Source organism: Homo sapiens, chromosome 10, assembly GCF_000001405.40.
Source record: "Homo sapiens chromosome 10, GRCh38.p14 Primary Assembly".
In the NCBI taxonomy this organism is placed as follows: Eukaryota; Metazoa; Chordata; class Mammalia; order Primates; family Hominidae; genus Homo; species Homo sapiens.
The window spans coordinates 106,589,085-106,602,159 of NC_000010.11; the positions used below are offsets into that span (position 1 = coordinate 106,589,085).

Here is a 13,075-nt window from a genome sequence, read left to right on the forward strand (position 1 = left end):
CAAATGCTTTGAGGGAACTAGTCAGCTCCAGCTCTTTTAGTTCTTTGAGCAGAAGTCCCACCATCCAAATTGCAGTTCATTTGCCCAGTACATAACTTACGAAGGGCACATAATCCCTAAAGGGTTGTTATTTGCTATTTAGGAGGTATCCATCTAGTTAGGCTTTTGCCTTCTCAAATAAAAGTCAGTGTTGCCCCTTGCTTGCCCTCTTTTTACTTTCTATTCTCATGGAAACCTTACCTATTCTGTCTTAGAAGAGTCAACAGGTTTTCAAGTCATTTCCCACTCCCTCCTTCTCCCCACCAAATATAAGGACTAAATTTACTCATGACCAAGGGTTCTCATGAGAACAAAGATACAGGGTTTGATAGAGCTTGAAAGATTTAAATCGGCAATTAAGGCTTTAACTTATCACCTGTCAGCAGATTCCCCTCACCTGATGATCTGCTATGAGATGGTAAATTAAAGCTCATAGTTGAATGTATATTCTGGTCCTGGTCTTCTCACCTGAGTTTCCATTCCATATTTCCAGCTTCCTGATGGGGTTTTTCACTTATATGTTTGATGACATCCAACCCAACATGAACCACCAAATTTATCGTCTTTGACGACGAAAAAAAAAAAAAAAAAAAACAAGCTCCACCTCCCAGGTCTCCATCTCGACTAAACAAATTACCATATCTTGCCACTTGCCACTTGAGTTGTAAACTTGTGTGTAAATACTTTGTTAAAAATAGAAATGATAATGGAGTTTTGCCCAAACCTATTATTAAAGGAAAAAACCCCAAAATCCTTCTAGCAGCCTTTTTTTCATTTTCCAAATTCATTATACCTTATCATCTCAAATTTGCATTAATAAAATTTCTTCACTAGCGCACAATGGATGATGGACAACAAAGTTTATAATATACTAGCATATTATTTTTCCTGAATTTTATCCCTCTCCCTTTGCTCATTATTTTACCCTCAGTAAATATACTAATTATGAATATTTGAGGGTATATATCTAGAAGCCCCAATCCATGTCAGACAACACATAATTTTATACATAAACCATATAATTCCACCTTTCTGTGCCTTTGTGCAACCTGGCCTCTCAACCTGCAATGCTTATTTGCTCTTTTTTTGGTGAATTCCTATTCAACCTTAAAGACTCAGCTTTACTGAATCTTCTGCATAGAACATTTTTTCATTCTCCTCATTTAGAATTTAGTAAAGTTTCATGCAACTAGTATTTGTGCCTCAGGTCTAGCCAGCTCAGTGTGAGTGAGGGCCCTCACTCATCTCATATGCCCTGATAAACTATAGGTTTAAAGGAATAATTTCAAAGTAAGGCATAGAGTCATGTGAAGAATAAGATGATAAATCTAAAAATGGATCCTGCCCTTGAGTACATTTCAAGTTACTAGGGTCAATGAGAAAACTATTGGCACTTTAGGGATATTTTCTTAACGGCTCAGGTTTGTTCTTCCACAAGTAACTATATGGATCAAATGGTGTGCATTAGATTCAGGGCCTTCCAGATTCTTGCTAGAAAAACTCTCCCTAAAATGACATCATAGCTGTTTTATGTTTTTGTTTTTGTTTTGAGATGGAGTCTTGCTCTGTTGCCCAGGCTGGAGTGCAGTGGCATGATCTCAGCTCACTGCAACCTCTGCCTTCTGGGTTAAAGTGAATCTTGTGCCTCAGCCTCCCGAGTAGCTGGGGCTACAGGTGCACGCCACCATGCCTGGCTAATTATTGTACTTTTGATAGAGATGGGATTTCACCGTGTTGGTCAGGCTGGTCTTGAACTCCTGACCTCAGGTGATCCACCCACCTCATGCTCCCAAAGTGCTGGTATTACAGGCATGAGCCAGTGCACCCAGCCCATTATAGCTCTTAAGATACACGATACAGAAGGCTAGGGCAAATGCATACACGAGAGATGGGGAGGACAAGGGAGGCATCACAGAAGATGTGAAGAAGGTTTGGCTGGTTTGTTAAGGTGAGGAGTGTGCAGTCCAAGGTACGTGACCATGAGCTATGCCATGAAGTGAAGCTGCTCTGACACTGAAACCATGTCTTCCAGTGGCCAGAGCAATAAAATAGGGACCAGTGATTCAGTCTCTTTTGGTAACAGTCGCCTGCCAGTCGTTCTCCCATTCTCTCTCAGATCTCTCTTTCTGGGACGTAGAACTCCAGGAAGGATAGGCCCAGTTTTCTTTCAACTGCCCATTCCCCACAATGTGTATATAAACAATTACAATGCATATTTAAAGAACACCTGCCATAAGAAAAAAAAATACAAAGATTCCCTAGATGCTTATTGTGTAAATGAATGCAAGTCTCCACTGATGAGTTATTTGATAAGAAGAAGCATGTCATGGGGACAGGTTCACAAATGAATAAACTGAATAAACTGGATCTGAAGGTTAACTGCGGGAATGGGATTTTGAATATATCTCTGCAGGCTATAAATTATGCATATAATTATTCATAAAAACAATATTTGTTAAGCACCTGATATGTGCAAGTTATCTGCTAGGTAAAATGATGAAGATGATATAAAGATATATGAAGAAGCTGATATAAAGACATGATGAACTATATCCAAAAGAAATTAAATAGGAGTGATTCAAAAGGTGATGGTCATGATCATCAACATCAGACAGATAAAGATCTAGAAATCCATGTGATTTCAGACAAGGGGAAGATGTTGTCCAGGCAAATGTCTCTGGAAAGATGTCATGCAAATGTTGGCATTGAACTGAGCCTTAAAGTACAGGTGGACAAGGAGAAATAGGTGAAGAAGTGGGGAGAAATATTCCAATCTGGAATATCATGAGTAGACGTACACTTTGGTCAAGACAGCAGTGCTTCCAGTCTAACACTAGCTTGACTGCATTCTATTCCCTTTTCCAACTCTTTGTATTGTTTTTGCAACATCATAGCCTTTGTTTGCTAAACATGGATGCCAGCTGCCATCAGGTACTAAAAGTCAAAGGGAGCCACTCAGGCCATGACCCTCCCTCAACCTTCTGGATAACATGTTTCTCATTCTCCCTTATTCTCATACAGGTTCAAGTCTCTCCTTTCCGCAAAGAGAATTTCAGAAACATACCTGTCAGGAGTGGTTAGACCCTTAAGAAAAACTGCATGAAAACCAAGAACCACAGGAATGGCTAGGAACAAAACAAGGACTACATTCAAAATTTAGCTCAGCTTAGATACCACAGTTAATGAATTCCCAAATGGAACGTGTTGGTGGGTGGGGGGCAGACACCATCCAGTCTCTAATGACATTCAGGTATCTGCAAATGCTTTCCTTGTGTTCCCATAAAAGCAAACAGGGAAGTGAATCTGAAAACCAAAATAAGGCTAGTAAATTCTTGAAAAGAGACAGTTCTTTTTCCTTGGAGACAAACCAAATTATGCATTTGCTTCTCTCACCAACAACATACTCTGGCTCAAACATTTTTAAAAGAAGGCTGCTGAACATCTGCTGAGCAATTAATGGGATGCAACAGCATGTTGTAATGGTCCCTGGGAAGGTATTAGCAATCCTGCTTATGAGACATGAAATGTTGCTAACAATGGTTCTTTTTTTTTTCTTTTAATTTTTATTTTCCCCTGCCTACAGGGGGGATGAGAGAAAGAGAAATAGAGTTGATGTGGAAGTTCTACATCTAATACTCCTCCCCACTGTTTCTCTTTTTTTTTTTTTTCAGGCTTCCTTCTCCTTCTCTTCCTAGCCACCCAAATATTAATGTGTTAATTTCAACCTAATAAAAGCAATTGTGGTGGCTCATGCCTGTAATCCCAGCACTTTGGGAGGCTGAGGCAGACAGATCACTTGAGCTCAGGAGTTTGAGACCAGCCTGGGCAACATGGTGAAACCCTGTCTCTACCAAAAACACAAAGAAACTTAGCCGGGCATGGTGGCATGAATCTGGTCCCAGCTACTTGGGAGGCTGAGGGCTTGAGCCCAGGGGGCAGAGGTTGCAGTGATCCGAGATCATGCCACTTCACTCCAGCTTGGGTGACTGGGTGAGACCCCATCTCAAAAAAAAAAAAAAAAAGAAACAAAACTGTGGCAAGTGTGTCTCGGCCCACCGATACCCTACCAAAGTGCCAAGTTTTCCATGAGTGAAGGGGGAATTCCCTCCACTGTTTTTTGTATATGTAGGGTCTACCACCCTATTCAAATATTTTTTTTCTTTTTTTCTTTTAATCAGGTAGCTAAAGGTAACGTAGGAGCAATCACCAACAGGAAACAGATCCCTCCCATATTTTACTTCCTTATCACAATTGCTGTTCCCGTTGACACGTTTGTCTTTTGCATAAGAAAATCGAGCCCTGAGTGACTGTGCTCCTGTGGACACCGCCAGCTCTAATGCGTTATGACCAGCATAGCCAAACTCAATATAGCAAAAGTTTCCAAAACTCAGTTATTCCATCAGCCCATGACATTATCTTTGTTTACTTATCAAACTGGAGCTAATTATCCACATATAAATCTATATCTACTCCAGTTGCTGAACTAGCCATGACAGAAAACTTAATAATGCCAGTTGATCAGGCTTGGAATTATATAGCCGAAAGACCCTACTATCAAAACTAACAGGAAAGATTTCTACAATGGTTGGAAGTCAAAGAATTTTCTCACTCTCTCCAAATTGGTCCAGGCTAAGATTGGGCTTTTATTTGGAAATGGATATTTTTTTCTTTGGTGACTTTGTGTTACACATACCTATACTGCAAGGGGTTCTTCTTTAAATCTCAGTGTGCATATCTGGGTCCCCAAAATATACCTCCCTTTTGCCAGCCCTTCTTCCCAGGAGTCTTAGTCCTGCTTCCGAAACTCCTAGTTATAGAAAAAACTACAAACATGAATTGGAAACATTTTTCAGTTCTTCCCAACTTTGCATTATTTTTTGTCATCTGGAGTTTTTACCAGTGGGATTAACATATCATGGTTATCAGGAATTGACTTCCCTTCCCACATGGAGCTATAAATCCAAGGACCTTTGGATGCCTTTGCTGTATTCAGTTTCTCTGGCCAAGCCAGCTGGCCAAACCAGTCTCAGCTAATTACCCACTTTTTGATCTCAATATTTCAGCTTGGTCCCAGCTCTAAACTATTTGTCATTGAAGAAAGTTTCCTTAAGTAACATTTAAAATAAGGTTTCCTTTTTTTTACATACCACTTCTCCCTAAAGTTAAATACGGTTAACATATCAATCTTTTAAAATTTTTTAAATTCACACATAACAATTATACATATTCATGGGGTACATAGTGATGCTGTGATACATAAGCATAGTGATCAGATCTGGGTAATTAACATATCCATCATTTCAATCATTTATCGTTTCTTTGTGGTGGGAACATTCATTATCTTCCAAAATGATCTGAACCATCATTAGAGCATAATGCAATAATCAGTTAAATAAAAACCAGACACAGATGGAGGAGAAGTATGGAAGGAAGAAAAAGAGTGAAATGTGAATGGCCTCCAGAATTGAAGAATGGGAGAAATAGGGTTAGTTCCAGGTCTAGCTTGACCTCCAGTGCTCTCCTGTTCAACAGAGCAAGGTCTCCGGACTAAAAAAGGCACTGTGTTCGGATACACCAAACCTAAAGATAGTGTTCATTCAAAGGCTGCTTATGCTATAAAAGCAAATTTTGCATCATGAAGGATAGACAAGTTGGCCACATCCCTTCAAACCCAGACTTCAGTATGGAATATCCGGCTTAGTTGTTTTTAATTTCTAAACTCAAAGGGAACAAGTAGTGGCTGATGAAGTTCAGTCTGCTACCTAAACAGGCTCCATGGTCTGATTAGATGAAATAAATCAGTGAATCTTTTTAAAACGATATTCAGTGGTTACTTTCTACTCAGTTGACATTTGTCAGTGGCTTGGCTATTAGGATGACTACAACTCTTGTTTCTGGAATTTGATCATTCTCCCATACAACTAGTCATGTGTGACTCTGCCATGTGCTACCCCCATTCACCAAACACCAAAGCTCAACATTTTGGGTAGGAAAAGGCCAGTCAGGACCATCAAATGCCCTGAGATAAGTTGGCAGTGGCAGCCTTTTCTTCAGAGAATTTTCACCAGCATACGATTCAGAAAGTGGCTTTTACCAGCAATAGCAGTTTATGAGGGCAGAGACTCTGTCCCCTATGTTGACAACATTGCTTGGCCCAGCGTAGGCAGGCACTCGGTAAATATCTGTTCAATGGATGTGTTAGGGTGAAAAGATGCAGAATAGGAGATGTGCCCTACTCAATCCTCCTTGCTCCTTACACTCATCTTTTTCAAGGAATGCTCTGAATCAGTCACACTTCTGTTCAAAGGTCTTGATGGCTTCCCAGACCTTTGATGGCTTACTCACTAAAGTAAGTACAAACGGCACACCCTGGCATGTTTCCACCCTCCACACCTCCATACTCCATGCTGAGGAACAGTGACTTTAAATAGTGGGATTGAAAAAACAACAAGAGCAATAAAATATTCTATGAAATCCAATAAAGAAAAAAGATAAAATCCAAGAAGGTAAGAAGTCAGTGGTCAGCCTGCTTGGCCTTCCGCTAGACCTAGCAGAGCCTCGTGAAATCTCCAGGAAACCAGAGAATGGTGCTTGCAATAGCTACTTTTTGTCCTCATTTACTCAGCATCCCCAAAGCCCTTTAGGCTTTACTTCCTTGGTGCTTTGGTGCTTAGAATGACCTCTTGCATTTAATGCTATCCATACTTTAAGGTTCTTCCTCGAAACCACCTACTCCATGAAACAATCCTGTATCATTTTGACAGGATATAACTCATACCTGCTTTAAATTTCCTATACAGCTTTAGTTGCTAATAATAATAACAGTAAAAATAAATATTAAAGCTATGTTTCAGACACTATCCTAAGTGCATTACCTGAATTAATCTTCACACAATCCCACTGGCAGAGATGCTATTACCATCTCTGAGACATACAGAAGTTAAATGTCTTTCCCAGGATTCCATAGTGAGTAACAAAGCCAAGATTGAAACCAATGTTCTGACTGGAAAAAAAAATCCAAGTGCTTAAATATGTTACGTAGTCTCTCTCTCTATAAGCATTTATGCAGTTTGCTCACTGACTACTCTCCACTGCCAATTCTTCCCATCCCACAGTACCACTGCCATTGCTACACCGAACTTCCCCACACCACAACCAGGTTATAAGTTTTGTGAAGATGAAGACCACTTTGCACTGGTGTTTGTACTCCATGGAGCACCAGCATGGTACTCTGCAAAAATAAGTACTCAATAAATATTGTTAATTTATTATTAATACATCACAACAATGTCTGTTTCTAAGTGCTTGTATTATCATTGAAAACTATCCTAAGCTACTTGTGTTATCATCTATTCTAAGTTACTTGTATTATTATTGAAAACTCTCCATAAGCTTAGAAGGAGGATCCCCCATCCTCACCACCACCTTCTCAGTTGAAGAGATGGAAGCTCAATGACATTAAGTAAATTGTAAGATCATGACCAATTCCAGGTTCAATTCCTGGGTGTGGCCCTGTACCACTCCTAAGTTCCTGCTATCTCTACTGCGTTACATTATCCTGAAACGTAAAGAAAGAAAATTCTTTGTAATATGAATATGTTGAAAATAAGACTTTGCAGAAAGACCCCCACAAATGTATTTGTTAATGTTATTTTCAGGATTTCTGATGAGATAAATAAAGCATGCTTCCATGTGAGACGTATATAAGCGGTTTGCTGACAGTTTTTGCCAGAGACTAAGTATAAAATATTACCTTCTCACTGGGTCACCCAGGTTGGAGTGCGGTGGCGTGATCTCGGCTCACTGTAACCTCTGCCTCCCGGGTTCAAGCGATTCTCCTGCCTCAGCCTCTCAAGTAGCTGGGACTACAGGCATGCACCACCCTGCCCAGCTGATTTTTGTATGTTTAGTACAGATGGGGTTTCACCACGTTGGTCAGACTGATCTCAAACACCTGACCTCAAGTGATCCACCCACCCCAGTCTCCCAAAGTGGTGGGATCACAGGCATGAGCCACTGAACCCAGCTGAAAGTGTCACCTTTTTCTGTTGTTTAACGGTTCTCCATTAAGGCAGAAACACCAAGCAAGGGAACCTCCAAGATCCGATGACTGATTTGATTTCTGATTAGCATTGTTACCATCTAGCCTTTTTATGAGGAAGGAAGCACGGACTAGGATTCCCTTTGCCAGAGCCACCAGCCAGAACCCCGGGACATGGACACTGACCCGCTGTTAAGTGAGCAGCATGGACAAGGACTCGGACTCCTGGCTTCAGCTCGAAGTGTACTGAGTTTTGGTTGAGCGTGTGGATCAGCAATTCTGATATCTGAAAAAAGAAGCATAGTTAGTGACACCAAAAGTGTCATACTGATTATAAACCAATAAGCTTAGAAATATTTACTATTTTCACCAAGGTATCACAATATTATACCCGTGAGTTATATAAATAAGGTTTATATGATTTTGATTTAATTCCAGAATATGCAGATACAATTATTTTTAAGCATGACCTGTCTTTACGTGCTAATTGCAACAAAATAGAAGAAACTATTAGTGAATGAAAATAATTATACTCTTTAAAAATTATTCTGTATGATCTTAGAAAACTTACCCCCAGTCTTTTGAGAGAACATTTGTTATGCATGAGGACTTAAAAGAAGTATATACAATTTACACATTCCGATAAGATTAATATATATTCATTTTACTTCCATTCTATTTCCCAAACCATGTGATTTTCACAAAACACTTTATGAATATTTATTGTATGGTAAATATAGTTCTGCTAAAATATGCAATTGAAACAAAGTACAGCCACAACGTAAGTAACAAATTGGCTAACCTTTATTTCATGCTTATAAATATTATCTAAACTGTTCCTCAGGCTGACACACGGATACCGGGCAGACCCATGGAATTCTGGACTATGAAATATTTAACCCCAAGCACGGGGCAAATAACTTCATTTGGGTAGAAATAGTGTAAGGTAAGGTTTTATGGATGAGGTAAAATGGTTCGTCTGTTTAGAGTAGAAAACCTAGCTCCATTTGCTGTGTCCTTTATAATGTTGAGGAATTTCTGAAAAGTTACGGGGATAACAACACTCCTATTATATTATTATTATTATTATTATTATTATTATTATTATTATTATTTGAGATGGAGTCTTGCTCTCTTGCCAGGCTGGAGTGCAGTGGCACAATCTCAGCTCACCGCAACCTCCACCTCCTGGGTTCAAGCGATTCTCCTGCCTCAGCCTCCTGAGTAGTTGGGACTACAGGCGTAAGCCAACACACCCAGCTATTTTTTGTATTTTTAGTAGAGATGGGATTTCACCATGTTGGCCAGGATGGTCTTGATCTCTTGACCTTGTGATCAGCCCGCCTCAGCCTCCCGAAGTGCTAGGATTACAGGCATGAGCCACTGCGCCCGGCCCACTCCTATTACTTTTATCTGGTCTGCTAGCCTTATTTTTAATATTCTAATAATCACTTAATATTTTACTTAACATGTTATTTAAGTCTAATTAGATGCTTTCTGACCATCATTCTGCTAATTAAATTCTTAATTTTTTTTTCCTTTTCTATTTGTTGAGTTTTATTTCCTTCAGTGAGTTGCCAAAATAACGCCTTTAATCCCTTTATTTGTTAAGCAGGGCCTGATGGCTTAGTTTGGAAACAGACAGTCACCTGCAGAAGCCCCTGATTGGTGACAGAACTGAACTGCCCCACAGATAAACTTCTCTCCTGAACAACAGGAACAGAGGATGACCATCACTGCCCAGTCGTTGAGCACCTGGGATCCAGAGCAAGCCCAGCCTTTCAAATGCTGTCATTTAGCAAACAATGCAGAAAAACAAGATTGTCATAAAACTATGCTGAAAACAAAAACAACTTTATTCTGTGTATTAGGCTACTTCTTTTCTTGGGTGCTGGGAATCAACCAGAATGATTCAGGTTTACAGAAGTGGATTTCTGGCCGGGCACAGTGGCTCACTTTGGGAGGCTGAGGTGGGTGGATCACTTCAGTTCAGGAGTTCGAGACCAGCATGGCCAACATGGTGAAATCCCATCTCTACTAAAACTACAAAAAATTAGCCAGGCATGGTGGTGCACACCTGTACTCCCAGTTACTTGGGAGGCTGAGGCCAGAAAAATCACTTGAACCCAGAAGGCAGACGTTGCAGTGAGCCAAGATCATGCCACTGCACTCCAGCCTCAGAGACAGAGTAAAACTCTAATTCAAAAAAAAAAAGAGGAGGAGGAGGAGGAGAAGGAAGGGGAGGGGAAGGAGAAGGAGAAGTGGAGAAGTGGATTTCTAACACAGATTGCATACAATGGTTTTCCTCTGTGTTCTTATCTTTTAATTGGCAGAGTCTTTATAGGAATCAGACAGTGGAGTTTTTAGAGGTCTATCACAAAGGTTTTAGCTATGAAATACACACACATACATGCACACACACAGATACAGAATTTCAGAAAAAATATTTTTTATTCAAATATGAAAGACTTGGTCAAAAGTAATGAGGGAATTAGCCTGTTTTGCCAAATTTATCACATGGACTAAAGGGAACTACATGTATTTGTGGGAGAAAGACTCCCCACTTTCAACCAGGTGAAGCCATATTTCTTTCTTTCTTTCTTTCTTTTTTTTTTTTTGAGACAGAGTTGGAGTCTTGCTCTTGTCGCCCAGGCTGGAGTGCAATGGCGCGATCTCGGCTCACTGCAACCTCCGCCTCCCTGATTCAAGTGATTCTCCTGCCTCAACCTCCTGAGTAGCTGGGATTACAGGCGCCTGCCACCACATCCGGCTATTTTGTTGTTTGTTTGTTTGTTTTGTATTTTTAGCAGAGACAGTGTTTCACCATGTTGGCCAGGCTGGTCTCGAACTCCTGACCACAAGTGATCCACCCGCCTCAGCCTCCCAAAGTGCTGGAATTACAGGTGTGAGCCACTGTGCCTGGCCGCAATATTTGTTTCTTATCACTGAGAATGTTTTCTCTTCAAGTGAGATATACCAATAGCTAAACCAGAAAATGGAGTTTATCAAAATAACATATTTTTAATTTATAATCTCCAGGAGAGACCCTTGTGAAAATAATTAACTACTTGGTTTTGTTTTGGTTTACAACATTGTTTCATTGGCTCTATCTGTGTCACTTACAAAATTTTAAGAAGGAAATTTAAATTTAAAAATTATCTGGTAACAGAAAGTACGTTTCATATATTTAACTTGCATCAAAGGACATTCAACAATGAACACATGCTTTGTGAGAAAAAATTTGCATAAGAAAACAAAACTAAATAAAATTTACATTGCATATAAGAATAATCTCAATTAGAACCATGTGCTTTTCTACTGAAATGAGTATGAAACTGTTGACAGATTTTGACAATATTTTAGATGTTTTCCACACCACTTGTAGAAGTGTTTATCCTGTATTTTTTCAAAAGATTACAAGTTGTTACATATATTCTAAAGGACATTATATATGCTGTGAACACTATTTTGGTAAAGTTGCTTGCTTCTTACTATCTTTTCTAGCAGAACACATCTTAGGTGTCAGTGCTGGCATCTTCATGGAAAGGAACATGGAGCTTAAAGGAAATACCAAAGTTTATTCAGTTAATATTTGAAGAGTTGAGACTAGACTTTGGCTTTGTTTGACTCCTAATCCTAGGGTATCTCCATTAAAAATATTTTCCTTGAACAAGCTGACAAAGAGAGAGACAGCAGAAGAGAGTTGGAGAGACGTCTGGCAGGATAGGTTTATAAGATGAGAAAATACAGCACTTATATTAATTATGCTGCCTTCTCTCATTCATCTGTGAAGCACCCGAAGTTAAAACATCAGCCCCAATGCCCAGTGACCAATATGGGCTACAGGAGTGGGGATTTCCTAACACCATCCTCAGAGGGGCCACTTTCTGTTCACCAGTTGCATAATTGGGTAATGTTTGGGAGAGTCTTCGGCTATAGAAAGGAGTAGAATAAACTGCATTCTACTGGAAAGTATGGCAACAGCCTAAATGAGAAGAAAAACACTTGCCTGATAGAGACTCAAGTGAAATACTGTGTGATTTCTAGGAGGGAGACTGAACCTGCTAAAGCAAATTGAATTTATTTCTTTTTCTTTTTCTGTCTGGTGAAAAGCGTGTTGTCTTAACAAATTTCATTTATCCTGTATACAGTCATCCCTCTTCTGCTGCTTTCCAGCACAGTCCATTTTCTATTCCACATCAGCTAAACAATCACGCCATAGAAACAACACATTATTCTTGGTATCTGCCTATTTGGTGGAATATGCCTATTATTCAAGTGCAACCTACATTTCATTTAAAGTCCCACTTAAAAGGACAGTGGAGGCTCAATTCGAATTTTAGGAAAGCTATCATCAAAAGGATGTCTTGGGAGGGACCTGTGACAGGGAAAACACCAATGTTCCTCATTGTCTTCTTCACACAAGAGGAAGATTGAATGCAGCACTCAGAATCAACTAGATATGGCTGTGGGCAGGGCCTTCAATCAAGAAAGGTCAATTTTTTGCTCACATGTCATATCCATGGCAGCTATGCAGTGGTGTTGGGCTCCCTGTGGTCACACAGGGACACTGGCTGGTGGAGCGGCCATCACAAGCATTTCCATTCATTACATACAGCACAAGAGGGAAAAGGAGCTAGCAAAATTCTACAATGTGCATTTGAATACTTTAGCTTGGAAGTGGCACATATCACTTCTGCTCCCACAGTCCTGAGGCTCTGCCCCAGCAGAATAGACTCATGGTACAGTCCTATCATGTACCCTGAAAGCAGTGGGCTGGAAATATTTAGTCACACAGTGATGGTTACCACACAAAGAACACATTCAACATCCAAACAATTTCTAATGAAATCAAGAGGGGGAAACACTATCAGATGATCAGAAGTAAAGTGGCAATTCTTGAAACATGAAAAAATAAAAGTTTTAAGGACAGTAGAGTAGTTTATAAATTCATAGAACACATAACCCAAATAAGTGGTACAAGGTAAAAATGCA

General features: G+C 39.8%; 1 protein-coding gene across 17 annotated transcripts in view; it reads right to left on the reverse strand.

Annotated features, from left to right (window-relative positions):
• The window catches only part of SORCS1 (sortilin related VPS10 domain containing receptor 1), a 607,476-nt gene that overhangs the window by 15,422 nt on the left and 578,979 nt on the right, over window positions 1–13,075 (reverse strand). For all 17 annotated transcript variants that reach the window (XM_017015617.1, XM_047424547.1, XM_017015615.3 and 14 more), the window contains one exon: window positions 8,267–8,366. In XM_017015617.1, the coding sequence (XP_016871106.1) occupies window positions 8,267–8,366 (100 nt within the window). The remainder of the gene's footprint in view (window positions 1–8,266; window positions 8,367–13,075) is intronic.